The 19,973-nt window shown below is 33.4% G+C and overlaps 1 protein-coding gene across 44 annotated transcripts in view; it reads left to right on the top strand.

Annotated features, from left to right (window-relative positions):
* The window catches only part of CBLB (Cbl proto-oncogene B), a 213,989-nt gene that overhangs the window by 157,524 nt on the left and 36,492 nt on the right, over nt 1-19,973 (top strand). For all 44 annotated transcript variants that reach the window (NR_135810.2, NR_135811.2, NR_135808.2 and 41 more), the window contains 3 exons: nt 7,753-7,938; nt 9,467-9,832; nt 18,338-18,432. Coding sequence is in view for 35 of the 44 variants with exons in the window: in XM_011513257.2 (XP_011511559.1) it covers nt 7,753-7,938; nt 9,467-9,832; nt 18,338-18,432 (647 nt within the window). In the remaining 9 variants the exon portion in view is untranslated. The remainder of the gene's footprint in view (nt 1-7,752; nt 7,939-9,466; nt 9,833-18,337; nt 18,433-19,973) is intronic.

Genomic DNA, 19,973 nt, shown 5'->3' with positions numbered 1-19,973 from the left:
TAGGTTTCTGTTTTCCTCCGCTTCTTTATTGCTTCTAATTTGAAAATTTCCAGAAGTTACTAGTGGAACATAGACAGTAATTCAGCCTTTGAATTAGTGAACTTCATTTTACACAGAAATCAAATGTCCATATTCTTAGGAAGGTAGCAGGGTGCCTACATTCTGTTTCTGTATTAAGAAGTAGAAAAAAAAATGTTCCTCCTACTTCAGAGGACTTTCCTGTTTCATTCTGGGTTTCTCCCCAAATTATTGTAGGTTGAGACTTCTGGAAGTATGACCATGGGTAACCAGGAAATGATTGTATTGCTCTAACACAATATTCTTCATATAAGCTTTTGTTTATTATCTGTGGAGGTACTCTAAAATAGATAACACAAGTCATTTACTTAAGCTATAATGCCATATGAATATGTGAGTATGTGTGTAAGCATTTTTGTAGCATATACCCTCTCTGAATAATATTCTGTATAGGCTACTATTTTAAATACTCTTGATTTTTGTTTTGTTCACAAAATAAAGTGAAAAAACTGAGAATAGTAGCAAGTAAAATATGCTTAGACTATTTTATCATGTGATAAAAGTTTTATCAATGTCTTCATTAATTTTCACGCATTTATAGAAAAACATTGACTCTCTGAGTCCTTCTCATCATCCTTATTATAGTAACTGTATATACCTTTTTCAGATATGGAAATTCATTAAGTAAAAATCTTGTTAAAAGTATTATAAAATTGACTTTGATTATCTCTGGGACTGTCAGAACTCTCATCTTATTAGTAATTGGAGAGGTTTTCTCTTGTCCTGTTTTTATAATAAGCCTGACTGTGCTTGAAGTTTCTTACCAAATGTTTTGCCATTTCCATAATAATGGATCTTATTAACGTTTTTATAAAATGGCTCTTTAAAGGTGTGGATAAAATGAAGAGTGACTAAAATAGAATGAGTTCCCAATTATTATTGGTAATTGCTGAACATAGTGAGATGGGCTTTTGACTACTTTACTTCTTAGGGTTTTTCTGTCAGGATTTTCTGTTAAGATTGAACATGTGGATTTCTCTGTTCCTCGTGGTAGTTATAAAGGATTCTGTGCATTTTGTCAGAAAAATAAATAATAGTATTTATTAATTTCCAAAGCAAAAGGATGAGTATGTAGACGTAAAAGAATCCAATGTGGTCTTTAAATTTCTAGAACACCAGGATTCTAGTTTGTAAAAGATGTTCTCATCTGTTACTAGGATTGAAGAACTTAAGAGAAATTGTTAGTTAGACAAATATACTGGTGTGATGATAATACAGGAAGGAATCAAGGCTGGCTCAGCCTTTGGATTTGGAAAGAAGCTGAAACAGATAATTTATCATAAAGTTTTAGAAACAAGTGTAATACTAGAAAAATGTGAGAATCACCTAAAATCAAGATAAAGGAATGAAGTGATACTGATCAGTATCTTTTAACTTGAAAGGATGTTTGTGTCTTTCCCAACTTTTGCAGTTACCTCTACATAAGGATTTTGGATATTGTGAATAAGTTCTATACAGTTAATTCTGTGTTCACATTCTACTTTCTATGCTTTATGACTTAATTTTTCCATACTTATATTTGTTTGTCTTAAGATTAGAGAGATGAACATGAAGGAGTGACAAAGAAAGGAACTCATTTAAGCAGTGCTCAAAAGGACATGATACTTTAGTCATTCATTAACACATGAAAACCAGAAGAGCACAGGCGAAATCTCTACCATGAAAAAGTCAGAAAAATTTAACTGCAGAAAAAATAGTGACAGCAATTATAACAGATAGAAAGAGGTTGACTATCCTAATATATAAAGAGCACTTTCAAATCAACAAAGAGGAAATTAGTGGATATGGGGACCAAAAAAATGTAAAAAGCTAGTGACCCAAAGAAGAAGTACACATGTCCAACAAAGATTGCATTTCTTTCAAATTATTTGTCAAGGAAGGAAGGGCAAATTTAAACATTGGTATGGCCCATTAAAATGACAATCAAGCATCAAAGCAAACAAAATATTCTTTGCATTTGAGTTTTGTGTAATGGTAATTATCACACATGGCTGGTGAGAGAATAAATTGGTTTTACCATCTGGACAGCAAAAGAGCCTTAAAAATATTCATAAATTCGACACGGTTACATGTCTAGTATCTTGTGCTCAAAAAAATTGTATGATTCTTTCCTTAAAAACTAGCACATATATGGTTAAAGATTTCTTTATGATACTACTTTATAATAAAGAAAACTTGAAAACAGCATAAGTGTTCATTGCACAGGAATGGTTTTGTAAATCCATATATGCATACTTTAAAATTATATTCATGAAGAATGTTTACCGCTAATTTTTTTTTGTATAATGCTAATAAACATTGAGTAGACTTAACATTGTGTATGTGATTAGGAACCATCACCAATGGCTATATGTAGGTGTTCTTTAAAATATCTTTATATTTCCCTATAATTCCAAAATTTCCTAGAGTGAAATTATGTTCTTTATAATGAAGAGAGAAAAAGTGAAATAAACAGAAAATTGAAAAGATACAAGGACAGAACTGCCAAAACCAGTAAAACGTATTTTTTATGGGAAACAGTTTGACAACATGCATACCCCTAAATTTATAAGCCTAATCCAATTCTTAAACTACTTTTCTTGTTATCATTTGTTGTTTTTGTGTTTAAGACCCTTTCTAGGTTAAAAAGAAAGCCTAATCATGTTAAATTAAATTTTAAGTTTGCTTTTTTAAAGGTCAGTGCTAATAATAGCAAATAATCCAAGAGGCATTTCTATTTGACTTTTGAATGCATTTTTACTTAATTTAATTATTTGGTTAGATATTTGATTTTGTTACTATTGCATTAAGAGCTGATAGTGGGAGGAATTGTCTGGGACAAAATAAGAAATAACAAGGGTGGGCATTTTGTTTAACAGTAACTTTAATGGGATTACCTTTTGGCAGTGTAGATGGGCAAGCTTTGACTAGAAATTTGGAGATAATATAATAGATTACATTCTGTCCCTTTTACATCAAAATAATCCATTTTCCTAACAATTTCATCTAAATAAAAATTAAATATTTTACATCAGCATTTATTTTACATAATGTTTATAAATGTTTTACATCAGCATTTATTTTATAATGCATTATTTAATTTTATTAACCCATAATGTTCTGTCAAATGCATTAATTTTATTCTTTAATCTACAGATAACACCACCAATAGGTGGTGACATTTTCAAGACTGCATGGCCTCTTTATATTATAACTGAAATTTAAATATAAGCAATTTGAATATAGGAAATTTAAATATAGGAGATCTGTGGTTTGAAATCAGGTTATACATTTATTTATATGATTACTCAAATGCAAAAAAAAATTGTTCTTTATAACCAGTTGGCATTAGAGCTTAGATAGTCATACTTGAAATTTACATTTTCTAATCAAGAGTATCCGTATGAACAAAATACTAACTGTTGTTATTCAGAATTTAAATGAATCCTTTGCTACTTTTCTACCCAAGATGTTTTATACTTATGTATTTGGTCTGCATTTTTATACACAATGGAAGTAGTAGTGATTAAGAGGAACAGTGGACAAATCAGTAAGTGATAATTAGCACAGTTCACAGTCTTAGAATTTAAACCTGAGCCAGGGGATTGGCTCTATGTTTGTTTGTTATTATTGTTTTACCCCAACAGCTCCCTTTATCACCTATCACATGTAGAAAAAGATAAATGGCCTGGGTGATTTGAGCTGGGGATTAGAACTGTGGAAGAAAGCCCAGAAAAGGGTGGAGGAAATGGCTGATAAGGAGTCAATTTAGGGGATAATATGAACTGGTGGGCTAAAGATGAATTCCCACATTCAGGTCCCAGCTATAGAGGCATTTGAATTACCTGGTGATTACCTGTACAGGGGAAAAGTCTGTTACTCTAGAATTTAGTCTTTTAAAATGCAAAAATAAAAATAAAAAATGCAGCTATTACAAAAAGACAGCATTGTCTTTTAAAGGAGAAATAATTTTGGTCTACATTGAATTGATGTACTTTGTTTTTTTTTATTTTCAGAAGGATAAAAAAGAGCAGACTTTTTATTCTTTAAAGTGAGCTGATAAATTTTGATGTCCTGAATTTTTAATATCTCATCCAATAAATTAATTATGGACTGGATTGTGCAACATTGTGCTAGATTTCCTTTTTTTCCGTAGACTTTCAAATAGGAAGGAAAAAACACAATTTGTGATGACTCAAATAAATTAAAAGTGACCTTCTATATGAACATTACCTACTAAAAATGTTTACAAATCTTCATAGTGTTTGAATTTTACCAGCAATGAAAGTTAAGGCAAAGCTTCAGTACACTAACTGCATAATTGTTTTTAAAAATAGTAAAAGGTTCAGCAAAGAATAATGCATTACTATCAAAAGAGCATTGTTAAATTATCTACTCTTAGGTAGGAATTTTACTCTAATTTAGGAGAACTCAGGAAAATGAGGTTTGGTGAGTTTAGTACATATAATCAATAAAGATGAAAGATATTTTTTTTCTTCACATACTCTCCATAAAATCCTTCTAACTAAGCCAACTTACAGATACTGTGTAGCTTCTAAATGAATTAATTCTTCAAAAGGACAGTACATAATCACCTTCAGAACACAGTATGAATTGCGCTAAGCAAGATATGCTTCCAATTACATTCACAAAGCTTCAGAGAGCCTGCTCGTCTGGAAGTATCTAAAAGTTCAAGGTTATTACTTTGCCACACACATTGGTTTGGATGTCTGTTCTGAGGATTTTCATTATACTCTTTCAGTATCCAACAGGCTCTTCAACACATCTGAAATCAAATTTACCCCATTTAAACATGCTAGAAATTTACTAACTGCTTAAATATTAGTAATTAATCCAATCTAGGGTGAAAGTCAAGTCCTAATACTGATAATGGGCTGTTAGCTCTATCACAATTCTGTGTCTTGTTTCAGTTAATGAGAGAAGTAGGAAAATATTTGCAGAAAAAAAGTGCTTGGAGGAGCACAGGTCTCATTCAGCAGTCTTTGCAGTGTGTACATCTAGCCCTGAAAAGTGTTTTTGCAAGTAACTAAAGAACTGTGCATTCTTTCTATATATAAAAAAATATATTGTTTGGGCTAGAAACAGTATTGATAGCTTTGCTTCTTGATTCTTCTTTGTAAAGGAGAGTAGCCATATCAACAAAGCATTTTTTTCAGGTAATAGCTTTTCTAGTTCTCAGAGAATATAATTTATCCTAATAGGAATGGTGGAGAATTAGATGTCCTGTGACAATTGCTGATCTACAGTGTCAAGATGCTGTGATGCAAATAGCTTTACATGAGGAATTTTTTCTGATCTATGATGATTTTGGGATTAGTTTTGCTCCAGAAGGTTCAAATTTATGGAACATGTGAGGCCCTGTGACTTTCTGGGTAGAACTATTCTTTTGTTAAGAATCACTGGCTGTACTCAAGTCAGTTTGTGACTATAGAGATTCTTTATTTTCTCCTTCAGTGACAATTGAATTTTTTTGACTTACCATAACCGAGCTAAAAGAAATGAAAAAGAATCATTAATTTTTAAAAAAGAAATGTTTCTAAAAATTGTAATGTAAAATTATGTTGAATTTTGTTGAATGATTTTGTTATTCGGCACCAACAGAGACAAAGACTTTGCAGTTTAGTAATGTCATGACAATATTCAGGCATATCGGAGGTATAGTCTTCTGTTTAGCTACTCAGATTTATTTATTTTATTATTTTTTTAGAGACAGGGTCTTGCTCTGTTGCCCAGGCTGGAGTGCAGTGGTACGATTATAGCTTACTGTAGAGTCAAACTCCTGGGCTCAAGGAATCCTCCTACCTTAGCCTCTTGAGTCGTGGGACTGGAGGCGTGTATCACCACACCATTCTAATTTAAAAAAAATAAAAAATTAGTAAAGAGGAGGTCTTGCCATGTTGCCCAGGCTAGTCTCAAACTCCTGGCTTCAAGCAGTCCTCCTGCCTTGGCCTCCCAAAGTGCTGGCATTACAGGCATCAGCCACCAGGGCTGGCCTCAGATTTATTTTTAAAAAGTCTTTACAAAGGACGCATAAATTTCCAACTATATAAATGTGGGCTGTGCAGTGACTTCCTTGCAAAGAGTATACTATGGGAAGGAGGAGAAAAAAAGAAACTTAACAGTGAAGAAGTCTGATAAACAATACCACGGTCAGGTAATTAAGGTCAGCAACAGCAGTGATGAATCATGTTGATAGCATGGATCCTTGATATGATGTGGTCAAAATGACACTTTACTTCCGTGGTCCTACTCCTCAAAACTTTTAACCCCAGGCTAATTATTTTTAAAAATTAGACAAATCCCAATAAAGAAACATTCTGTATAATCTCTAACCAGTACTTTACAAAACTGTCAAAGTCATCAGACACAATGGATGTCTGAGAAACTGTCAGAGCCAAAAGGAGAGTAGGGAGACGTAATAATAAAAACTAATACAGTATCCTGCATGAAATCCTGGAGAAGAAAAAGGACATTGGGTATAAACTAAGGAAATCTGAATAAACTATGGATTTTAGTTAATTAACAAAAGCCTTATACAATGTAACTAAGTGTGAATGTGAACGCAAATCCATTATCTCAGTTAAAGACAGACTAAATGATAAAGCTGCTGAGTTCATATTAAATTGTCAAATGATGACATCAGCAATTCGTACAAAGGTAAGTAATGTTAGGAGGAAAATGGCTTACAAATAAGTTTAAAACTATAAATACTAGCATTCAGAAACAGAACAATATCAAAGCATGATAGATAGTGTTGTAAACATTAAGTCTAAATCTTCAAAGAGCTAGTAACTTAGACTTGGAAACTGCCCAGTATTTTAGAACAGAATATTGTTTATCCTGTTAAGGCTACTTGATTAACTGTATGGCTTTTATAACAAATAGAAATTAGGTTATGCTGCATTAAAACACATAGACACACACACACAAACACACAACATTATGCAATAGGAAGTGTTACGTACAAATTGAAATACTTACTGGCTTTTCGATGCTACTTTATCTACCAGACAATATGGAAAACTTGTAGTAACAGAAACTTAGTTTTTGCCAGAAGTACAGACAGACTTTCCTAGATATAGTTCATTGTGTTTCAAGAAAAATGTTTAACTTGAGAATCTTTTCCATGTGTAGTATTAAGGAAAAAAAAATAGGCTTAAATCAGTTTGTTTTAAACACACAATTATTTTTTTAAAACCCCACCTGATTTAATTGGTTTGCAGGAAAATAGACTACATACAAGATACATGTTTGGAACAAAGCAATAGCTAAGTATTAGAATGTACAAAGCTCGAGCAAAAAAATTTATAATATAGAGATCCAAGAGCAATGTGCATTATTGCATTATGTGTTTCTGGATTCCTCATAAAATATAGATGGTTTTCTTGAAGAATATCTGCATTTGATTGTCTTTATACTATACTTTTGCTGTTCTTTTTTCTTAGCCCCTTTCTGCAATATGTAGGAAAAACTTATCAGTCTTTTCTTTTCGTAATACTACCCTTGAGGGACAGTATGAACTATTTGCTTCTATTAATCAGGGTAAACTAAGGGAATTCATTTTAACAAATGTATGGTGCCAGAAACCTTCTTCCAACCAAATATATTCTTTAAGAACAGAGAACACTCTGCACAGCTAATAAACAGCGGCATCTTTCTCTTTTTCTGTTCTAGTGCACTGACAGGCAGAACTCACCAGTCACATCACCAGGATCCTCTCCCCTTGCCCAGAGAAGAAAGCCACAGCCTGACCCACTCCAGATCCCACATCTAAGCCTGCCACCCGTGCCTCCTCGCCTGGATCTAATTCAGAAAGGCATAGTTAGATCTCCCTGTGGCAGCCCAACGGGTTCACCAAAGGTAGATCAATTTTATTAGAAACACAGATGAAAATTTTGTAAGACAATTATTGATTGCTCAGATTCTTTTAAATTCCATTACTCATATTTTTTTGCTTTTAATTGTGAATAAGTTTGATGAGTTTCTCGTTTAGTTTATGGTGAGCCCACATTCATATTTCTTGTTTTATTACTATGAGAGTTACACATAATTTTTGCAGAGAGCATATGTCTGTAGCCCCATGATTTGCCAGAATAAGAAGCAGAGTAAGTATAGTTATTTTGTAAAATAGATTTAAAAGGTCATTATATGCATTAAAATAATTTGCATGCTGTTATCAAATGATATTTTACGCTCATTTTTATAGTGCCATGACAAGAAAAATGTGATGGGAGTATATTTGCAAAGGGCTTAAGGTATGACAAATTATCACCCTTGTTTCAAGGCGACTCAGAAGAGGGAATTATATGTAGTTTTTAAACCTGGAGAAATTAATTACAATGAATTGCAATATTTGCAGAGTAATTATATTACTGTTTAATATTAAAGACATAATTTTTACTCTACAGTTAAACCTACAGTTTATTTTACTGTGTGGATTTTTTCCTCGAATTTGATAAGTATAAGATTTTAAAAATTAATTTTATTTGGTAACATGCTCTGTTGTCTAAAATTTGTTGGAAGCACAATATATTTAGTAGTGTTTGATTTTCCTGTATTACCAGTTAACCTGGTTTTAAGATCACACATTATTAGAATATCATTTAGAATTATGTAAACACAACAGATTCCTTTTTTCTCTGCTATTTTCTAACATTAAAATTACAAATCAATCATCAGATTAACCATGTAAATAAAAGTCAAAAGCTACGAAAAGCATACTCATTCAATTCATTGATCTATACCTTTATATTTCTATGTAAGAATCAGCCTGATCTTTTAAAATACTGTAAGAATTCATAAAATTGAAGTAATTCCATATGTAGTGCTGCTCTGTTACTTGTGATCTTTTACTATTCTGGTAATAACCGATAAAGAAGCAGAGCACATTTGCCCCCATATCAGTTTTGCTGTATCACAGTGATGAAAACAAAAATAAAGAAAAAGCTTTTAATCTTCTAAAAATATTACAAATATTACAAATCAAGTTACTCTTTAAAAAAACTGAAACCATGACAACTTTTCTCCTCTCTCCTAAATCATAGAGATGTGCAAATAAATTATTGACATATTCTTTTAATGTCAAAGTCATTGTATGATTTTGATCTTCTACTTGTTTCTGTATCATTTCTATAACTTAACATTTGGATTTATGTACTCATTTCTACTTTTTCCTAATGAAATGTATTTATGAGTTTTTTATTCTCATTTAAATTTCATTAACTAGTAATAAAAGCAACTTATTAAAAGATGGCACAGGAATCTAGTAAAACTCCTTGTTTGGCTTAGAAAATTAAAGCAATAATACACTAGTTTGGAAGTTCTGTCAGTGCATGGTACAACCTTTAGTTTTTTTTTTTTTTTTTTTTTTTCTCTTCTGTTTCTTTAGTCTTCTCCTTGCATGGTGAGAAAACAAGATAAACCACTCCCAGCACCACCTCCTCCCTTAAGAGATCCTCCTCCACCGCCACCTGAAAGACCTCCACCAATCCCACCAGACAATAGACTGAGTAGACACATCCATCATGTGGAAAGCGTGCCTTCCAGAGACCCGCCAATGCCTCTTGAAGCATGGTGCCCTCGGGATGTGTTTGGGACTAATCAGCTTGTGGGATGTCGACTCCTAGGGGAGGGCTCTCCAAAACCTGGAATCACAGCGAGTTCAAATGTCAATGGAAGGCACAGTAGAGTGGGCTCTGACCCAGTGCTTATGCGGAAACACAGACGCCATGATTTGCCTTTAGAAGGAGCTAAGGTAAGAAATACGCAAAGCAGAAGCTAGAGAATCTGCTTATAAATGCTTCTGATGGTCAGTAGCATAAAAGGTTGGGAAGTGTTTTTTTTTGCCTAGCATGGCACTTCCCTGTAAGTCTTTAATTATCCCCAAGTTATAAATAATCAGAAGCTCATTAAAACTTGAACTTAAGAGAAGTCAGGAGGTTCTAAGTAATGATTTAATTTTAATGTGAAGACACTAGACAATTTGCCAGAGATTTATTTCACCTTCCCGTATTTCATTTGCCAAAAATTTCTTCTATTAACAACTTAGTGGTGGTATAATCAGCCTGCATTTTTTTTTTTTTTTGAGACGAAGCCTCGCTCTTGCCCCCCAGGCTGGAGTGCAGTGGCGTGATCTCGGCTCACTGCAACCTCTGCCTCCCAGGTTCAAGCGATTCTCCTGCCTCAGCCTCCTGAGTAGCTGGGATTGCAGGCACCTGCCACCACGCCTAGCTAATTTTTGTATTTTTAGTAGAGATGGGGTTTCACCATGTTGGCCAGGCTGGTCTTGAACTCTTGAGCTCAGGGGATCCACCCGCCTCAGCCTCCCAAAGTGCTGGGATTACAGGCATGAGCCACTGTGCCCAGCCAGCACGGTATTTTTAACAAACTCCTTTAGTTCCATCCAATTTTTACAAGTTGTGTTACTATACATGTCATAAATCAGTTGTTGGAGTTAGTTATTGTTGCCTGGGACAGTGCACATTAGGCAGCCAGGTAAAATGAACCTCCTATATACTTAAAAACACTAAACCAAGTTTACTCTTAAAAATCAAGTTCTTTTCCCAAGTTCTTTTCCCCTAAAATTGAGAGATTCTCACCCTTGTTGACTTCTCACTTGAAGGATGTTACTACTATCATTTATATGTCCAGGAAGGAGTTTATGTGTGCAGGAAACTGAAGAGACAGCAGCAGAAATCATTTACTTTAGAATTCTTGGTAGTTCCTTGGCAGAGGTATACTGTAATAATTTCTGGTATTTGGTTCCAGGGTGCTTTTGACTCTGAGATTAGATCCTTGCCATCTTCCCTCTGCTGATGGAGGCCTTGGCTCTTCTGAAGACTATAATATTAAAGTGATCTCATCTCTGTAGACCTTAAATTGATATTTTACAGAAGTAGTCTAGTCCTTCAATATAATGGTTAAAGTTGGTGAGTTCATCTTATATTCAGGATATAAGGAAGAAGCGTGACTTGCACTCAGCTCCTCTGTGTGTGGAGGTACAGTGATAATGAACACTTTGTATGACAGTATTTAACCTCAGTGATATGGGGTAGCCAGGAAAGGAAGAGTCACAACTCAGTAGCACAGCATTCAAAACCAAAGGCAAGGAGTGGTGGCAGTTTGCTTTGACTCTTTGCTGGTGACTCACCTTGGTACCTTCAGTCTCATCTATTATAAATATGAGGATCTCTAAAGGTTTCCTCAGGTTCACCTAAATATAATGTAAATGTAAGAGAACATACTAATAAAACCAATTTTATAATAATCTCTGTTAGTGGGGAGCTCCTCCTCAAAAGAGTTTTTCCACAACCTAGAATGCTGATTGGAAGGACCTGCCATTCATTTTCAAAAATTTTCAGGTTTTTTTTTTTCCCCCTTTAGCTTTACTTTTTATTCATATGTGATCACACTTGTCTTGGGAAGAGTGTTAGAAGAAGCTGTAATTAACTAGTTATATCTCAGCAGCATGTTATAATTTATTTTCTAAACGGACTTCAAAAATACTTGAAATATAATAGTTGTTATAGCCATTTCATTGAAGATATCTTGTCTCGGGGTTCTTTTAGATAACATGTTATAGTTTTAATGCTATTATAAATTTGCCCTCCTAAGCTCTAGAAAACTGGCTGTTAATTTTTTTATGAGATGTTACCCCAATTTCTTAGGTTATTGGTATGAGATACTGTTTTTATTTTATTAACTATAGGTATGAAATATTGTGAGTTCAGTTATAAAAACATTCCTTTAAATATTTCTGTGTGAACTTTCATGTTGTGATCATTGAAACAGATTAGTATAATAGAGAACACTGAGTGAAAATTTTATCTCTTATTGAAAGCTGAACTTTAATATTGCTTAGTTCTCTCTAAATAATTCTCATTAAGATTTCCTAAGTTCTAATCTCATATATTGTGGGTATTTATATTGCAATGCTAATATCCTCCAGTTAATTTCATGTTACTCTTAGATTTGGTGTTTCAACCAAAATTAGACTTCTGAGATTTCTAATTTCAACCTAATTGTTTAACTTCTGGAGTGAGCTGTAAAAAAGAATTTATATATAGTTGATTCATTGAATGCCACAAAACTATAAAACAGACCATGTCTCCTCTTTTATTACTGTTATAAAGGAAAAATGATTCACTTCATTAGATCATAGGGCATACCAGAACTTAGATAAATTAGAAAAGGCCTAATTCCTCTTCTCATTTCATTGTTGGGAGACTTAAGAGGTTGGCTTCAACTAACAACTGACATAATCACTTAGGATCCTGTAATTCTCAGTTTCTGTGATCCTGGGTTGGAGTTTGTTACCAGGCTCCAAAATCAGGCCTGGATTTCACTTTTTGCTCTAGAATATACTGGCTTTGTCCCCAACCTTACTTATTTTCCTTATAAATAAAGTGGAACTTTATTTTATTCCTTTATATAAAATGGAATAATAATAATACCTGGTATCTAGGATAATAGTTAGCTTCCAGCTATCTAAATTTCTAAACCCCTTGGTTCAGGAATAAAACCAAAAATAACAGCTGTACATAGAGTGTCAAAATAAGTTGTAACACTTGGCATTTTTATTCAAAATAGTTGTCTGTTTTTTAAACCGAAACATCTTCTCTTTGTTTCACTCCTTTTTTCTTTTATTTAACGTAGTTCCTAATGAATGCTTGGTAAGCACTCAATAACCAAGTTAATAACTTGGTTAAGCATTCAATAACCAAGTTAATAACTCGGTGCTTATAATATAATACTTACTTGGTGCTAGTAATCTAACACTAAAGCCAGTGGTGGAGACAAACAGTATATGTGCTTGGGTTTGAGTGTGGGCAGGTGTAGGCCAGGAGAGAAAAGGTGGAGGGAGAGGATGGCTGTGATATGCAAGGAGTTACAAAGGGACAGGTTTTTATGTATCTTGCATAGTTTTCTTATTTAAAATAGGATTTTTGTTCCTCTGCAGAAGAGTAGTCATTTTAAACATGTAGATCATATACAACAAGAAAAGGAGAGCGGGTGAAGAGAAAGGGGAGATATTTTGATTTTTTAAAAAGACTAAGATTTTTAATGAAAATAGTAGATGTTAACGTATTTTCACCCTTCATACCTAATAGTGCCATTTTGTTTTGTCTTACTTTATCATTGGATTAAAGAGTGGGAGATTTAGGTATTTGGAGGCTGTTTTATTCACATAATTTATCAGGCCCCTAATATAAGCAAATGCGCTTTTTTTTTTTTTTTTTTTTTGGTCAAATGGTAAAAACTGCCGCTTAGGTTTAGTAGTTTTCATAAGCGGCAAAGCTTCAAATCTAGTAGCATCTTCCCATTTTAGAGATAAGAAAATGTAGATAAGTACTAAAAATTTAAGTGAAAACTAATTATACATGTGGAACACAAGGGAATTTATAAAAGTCAATACCCTGTCAATGGGCGAGGACTCGCTTCCCTTCATTACTCGTCCTGTCATTATGTCAGTTCCCATCATCCAGAAGAACCATTTGCCTTTTCTGTTTGCATTGTCACTAGAACAATGAATGATAGGGGAAATGGAAATAAATTAAGCTCTAATTACTCCATTTGGTAATTGTAGAGAGCTCTGAGGAAAAAATTATTCTAGCTCATAGTTAAAGTGAAGTCTAAGAAGTTTTTGTGATATTCATTTACTCCCTTTACTCTTCCCCTCCTACCTAGCATAATCAAAAGCTAGCCAAGGTAATACTTTACTTTAAATGTGGATCTACAAGCTAAGAGTTATTGTTTATTTATCTGATTTTGATGGTAAGAGATTTCTATCCTATAGCATTGTTTCCATTCTCTGAAAGTCTCAGATTTTAGTCACCTTATAAAGCTGTTCCTTAATAAACATCTTGTTGGCTAGATATTTATTGTTGTTGGTGGTTTGTTTTAATTATCTGAGCAAAATAATTCACCAAAATATATTAAAATATGACTAAAAACTTGCAATGTATCTACTTATTTCTAGATATTAACATTATACCCAACTGTCATTATTTGTTCTCTTGAGGCAGTAAGAATACTGCTGTTTCTTATATGATAAAACTATCTTTAACTGGTCATGTAACTTACGGTGACATTGTCCTAAAGATGACCTTTGCATGATAATCTTTTGAAGATGCTGCAAGATAAATATATCAAATGATTTCCCTTTTTGCAGTTGTGGCTTGTTGTACTTTTGGTGGAGAGGCACATGTTTACATTCATGACCTTAAAGTTATCTATAAATTTCAAGGGCTGTCTTTCAGAAAATCAGTCCTGTGTGTGTGCTGGTTTCATGTACAGTCTGACGTTGAAGGACAAATTATAGGGATACTTTTGAGGTAGCATGTGTAGGGGTTTACATGTGTAGGATAAGGTAAAGGCTTGTGTTTTGTAAGATTTTTAAAAGATGTTTTTCTTAATTGTGCTAAGATTTTCACAAAATTGTTTTCTCTGTATCTCAAGGGTCCCATATGTTTTAATCTTCAGTTTTTAAACAATATCTGAATCACAAGAAAACATTTTACACTTTAGGATTAGATGATACCTTGAGGCATTTAGAGAAATATTACTCTAAGATAACCTAGATTTCTAATAAATTATACAAGCCAGTTTATACTTCTTTCACAAGTCTACACTTCCACTATTTTCTTAGTTCTTCAACCTCATTACCTAATTCAGCTATATGAGTACCTAGGATGTTCAAGACACTCTGGGGAATACAAAGAGGAATAAAGCACAGAAAAGCTAGTCAGGATGAGACAGGCATGTGATTAAGAGGTAAGGCATATGAGAAGCATCCAGAAAATGTGTGGGATCCCCAAGAAGAAAAAAAATTCCAAGATGCAGGACTGAAAAAGGAATAAAGAAAGCTTCATGCAAGAGGGTCACTGGCTATAAACATTAAAAGATTGGCAGCTGTTGTTTTTGTAGGTATGACAGAAAGAAATAGCATGGAGGTGGGAGAATATGTATAGTAATAATGTAGTCAGTTTTGGATAGCCTATAGCATAAAAAGAGTAGGCAGGTGAGGTAAGACCATGGCAAGGAAAGTTAAAACCAATTATGAAGTGTCTTGAATTCTACATTAAGTAATCATAATTTGGTAGGCAGGAAAGAATATTTAAAGTTTTCTTTTCTGGCAGAGGAATGCTAGAAACAGAATTGGGAATTTAGAAGATTTAAATTGGTAGCATTTCCAATGCAATTGTGATAGATTTCAGACAGTGAGCTAAGAATGCAGAGGACAAAAAAATGTTTCTTAGTTGAGGATTCAGTGAGGTTTCAGTGTGAACTGCTTCAGTTGATACTATCAGTCTGTGCATTTGAGGAACTATAGTTCTTTTTTACCATTTGCAAACAGGTTTTTCAGATATCTGGAAAATATATAAAGTATTTATTTTTAGCCCCCAAAGTTGTGATTTATTGTACTCACTCAGGTAGTGGCAGCTAAAATGATTTTTGGGTGTAAAGAAATGGTTGCAGGTGAGAACATGAAATTCAGAATGACATAATGTTAAATCTTGTCCTCTAGCCACCGTCAATAAATATGAACAGCCATTTTAGATGAACGGAAACATGATCATCATTTTATAAAGTACCTGCGCATTTAGGTCCTTTGCTATCTCAATCTACTAATTAGGAAAGAACTATACAGTTCTATTCCAAGTTTTGTATTAGGCGTATTGTCAACTCTCAGTACATATTTATGAACAGTTTATAGGAATAACAGCCATTAAGCAAATTATATATATGTGTGTGTGTGTGTATGTGTATATATGTATGTATGTATATATATGTATGTGTATATATATAACATATATATACTCACACATATTTGCTGAGAGTATTTCAGTAATAATGAATTTCTTTCAGCTAAACCTAAGGAAAGTGATTTCACTAGTTAATACTTCCATTAATAAGTGCATCTGAGCCAATCAGCAGTCAATATTAATTTAAGCCTTACTGTGTGTAAAGCACTGTAAGGCATATGCTATAAAATGGTAAAGGAGTAATAGAATTTTTGTCCTGAAAGAGGCCCAGTGTGGCCTAAATTCTCCTTGACAAAACGTAAGTACACAGAACATGAGCAAAATATTATCAGATGCCAAACATCAAATGAATGGTTCAGAAAAGACACTACAGCATTTCAGTGGCCATAGAAATCCTTTAGTTACTATACATCAGTAACAAATGGTATTTCTGAAACAGTTAGAAAAAGTGACATTTGCATTTTAAAGCAGATTAATGGATTGTTTCAAAAAATTAGGAATAAGTCACTTAATTTTCTTAGGTATTGCCCTCCAAGAGTAAGTTACCTCATTAATTGTACTTTGTGGCTTTACTAGTGATAGACATCATTGCCTGTATGACTTGTCTTCATGAAATTTAATAGTAGTACATAAAAATATGCAAACTCTGTTATTAGTATTTTATTCTCATTTACCTAATGTGCAAGATGAAAGCAATTTCAATACCAGTAAATGTTTGAGTGTATTGGTATTTTTTAAAGATACGTTCATAATGTTCTGATTATAAAATCATAGTTGGTTTATTGTTAAATTAGAGCCAATACAGCTGAAACTATTATTCCCATATCTGTCTTTTATTTTATTGTTGCTGAAATTTTATTAAGCATCTATCTATGTTGGATGCTTTGTCCTAAAATAACAAACTATTGCATATAAAATCCACATTACATTTTCCCAAATGAGTTTTATATGTATTTGTAATATGAATTAAGGAAATTTGATTGCAGATATCTTACATTGTGTCTATTCCTGCAGCATGCAAAGAATTCCAATGAAGAATGACTTCCAATGCTCAATATCACAATGAGCGTTTGTGGTTTGATATGTGTGTTTGTCTGTTAAAAGGCCTTTTTTTATGTTAAAGGATTTTATTAAACTTCAAAATGATTAATATCTATTAGGAAATTTCTTCTTTCTGGCACACTTCAGAACACTTTGCCTTGTTCTGTTATTTGGCCACAGTCAAAAGCCCAGATAAAATCATTGTATTTAAAGGTAATATTTTGTCATGGTATGGCTACAGTATATTGAGTCTAATGAAGGGAAACATGAAAAAAGAGAAATTGGTACTAAAGCATAAGACCAGTCTCTAGTGAAACTTTAAAGCTATAAAATTTGATTTTGTAGCTTTGAAATACGAACGTTGATACATTTCAAATATGTTCTTTAAACTTGTTTCTTATTTTAAGTTGATAGGTAAGGGTATGGTCTTTTAAATTTTGTATTCTAAAGCTTCCACATCATTTTAGAAATATGATGGGGGAAAGTAATTGGTAAGTCCTTGACTGAATTATCTAGCACTGCTCAAATTACTTTACATGTATTTAGCCCCACCATCAGTCTACCTATTAAATATGAATTAATAAGAGTTTGCAAAATAACTCCATGATAAAAATCTAATGATTGCTTATAGGTCTTAAAATGTGTTCAATTTTTTCTTGTGAATATGTTTCTGCAAAATTATCCTCTCATAACCGCCCCCCTTTAAGTTGCTGTAATTTCAAATTGTAGGAGAAACGAACAGTTTTTCAGACATTTCCTGTAGTGTAACAGAAATCTAGACATCAGAATCTCCTAATTCAGAGTAATTGAACACTGGCTTTGGATGGTCCCATATGAGCAAGTTAGAAATTGTGGTTTGTGTGTTCACAAACTGAAAATTTTGTTTAAATTTGCCTGCACTTGGAAAGCCAGAACAGGTCTCTAGTTATCATTAGCACAGAAGCTTCAACCATGAAAGAACAAAGGCACTTCTGATTATATTAATGTACTGTTTCATCAGAAAGTTTAAGAATGTTCCGTTCACCATGGAGAAATATAATTTAGAGCACTTTAATTTGGAAGGAATTAAAAAAAGAATAACATCAGTGCTGCTTTTTTCTTTACCCCTTATAGAGAATGCTAACTTTTCAATAAAAACTGATCATAGTTGGTGAATTTTACTGTCTACCTATTTAGCCATTAATATCTGTATCTGGTGTATATAAATTATAGTATTCCCTCTCAGTGTTTAAGAATCATGGTGTAACATTTTTATTTTTTGTGTAAGCTTGAACCCCTTTGGGCAGTGGTGAATCATCAGTGTGGTGCTACTGACTCCTGAATAAATTGTATGACATTTCACTTATTTAAATATACTGAACTTACATATTGTCTTCAGAATGGTAGAGCAGCTATGGCTTTAAGGTCCTTCAGAAGTTAAATTCTTGGAAACTAACAATTTGATTTACTTTCAGGTCTTTTCCAATGGTCACCTTGGAAGTGAAGAATATGATGTTCCTCCCCGGCTTTCTCCTCCTCCTCCAGTTACCACCCTCCTCCCTAGCATAAAGTGAGTTTTGTTGAATTTGGAGATCACTTGTCTATGCATCAAGATATGGTAGAGTGGTTTTGAGAGGTTCTCAGTACAGACACTACATGATGAATAGAAAGTCATTGATAGTAAACAGCCAGCTGTATTTACAAACTAAATTACCATAAATTAAGATCCTTCCCTATACTTTGCTGGTAACCACAACATCTGTGAGACTTACCTAAACTCTTGAGGTTACATAGAGCAACAGGGAGAGAAAGCTACGCATTCCTTGCATCAAAGAGGGTAGAGTAGCACAATGAGGTATCCCTTCAAATTTACCTCTTCTCCTCAGAGGTATCCCATTTTATCTCAGCTTCCCAGTTTGACATCATAAAATAATCTTTGGTTCCACCAGGTTTCTCATTTCTCACATCCATTCAGCTACTAAGTCCTTTTGATTATTCTTTTGGAGTTTTTCATATTCCTCTAATCTTCTCCATTGCTCTAGCTTTGCCTCAGAGCTGGACAACTGAAAGAGCCTTTTATCTGATAATCTCTTATGATCGGAGAGTTAGTATCAATGGGTTTACGGCTAGTAAAATGAGATAACTGGGTATCTCATTTGAAAAATGGGGCCCCAGAGGCACACTAGATATCTCTCATTGATATCTTCCCAAGTTAAACCAGGATAAACTGGATATCCCAATTCTAATTTTCCTGCTCTTTATATGAAGTCAGGATGTCTGCCTTTCCTCCGGTATATTTTGTTCACTGTAACTGAGTTCATTTAATTTAACTTCTGCCTTCCCCAGGTCACCTTCCCACTCAAAAACTAGCATTGTTTCCCTTTTTCCATTAAATTAACTCTATGCACTTCTGCTAACAGTAAGATCCTACAGAATTTTACCCAACTAAAATATTTTTTAGTGATTCCTAATACTTGCCCTGTAATTATATCTGGATTGTTTTTTCTGACTTTGTGAGATTTTTATGCTGTTCCTCCTGTGCTTCACCTTTTCCTAATCTTTATCCTAAAGGTCCATATCTCAGACTCTATTTCTTTGTGAAATGTTCTGTGACTTCTTCAATTGTAGTGATTAAGACTGATTTACATTCCTCTTCCTGCAGTTTATTTCCTACTCATTTAATTATATACTCTGCCATACTGTTTTCTAATTTTAATGTGACTCTCCAATTGAAAAGATTACAAGACTTTGAGGACAAAAACTTTGTGTTCTCTATCTCCCATAACATCTTACTGTATTTGATATATACTAAGTAAATGATTTGCATATAGTAAGTAAGTACACAGAGAATACGTGGATGCTTGGTTTATTGATTTAAATTTTATCTGCTGAGGTCCTTATTTACAATAGAAGGTCTTAGAGCTTCTTCATTCCTTCATCTGCAGTTCACTGAACTCCCACTATACATATCAATGCAAAAGAAAAATAAGGTAGATCCCAGCCCCCCAGAAATTTACAGTCTACTTTAGAAAATAACATTAATGTATATGAAATCATTAGAGAATGGTGTGCACTAACATTTATAATGCTAACTTAGTAGTTTCAAATGAG

This window comes from Homo sapiens, chromosome 3 (assembly GCF_000001405.40).
Source record: "Homo sapiens chromosome 3, GRCh38.p14 Primary Assembly".
NCBI lineage: Eukaryota > Metazoa > Chordata > Mammalia > Primates > Hominidae > Homo > Homo sapiens.
Note: the sequence above shows the minus strand (reverse complement) of the source record. Positions and strands in the feature narration are given on the sequence as shown.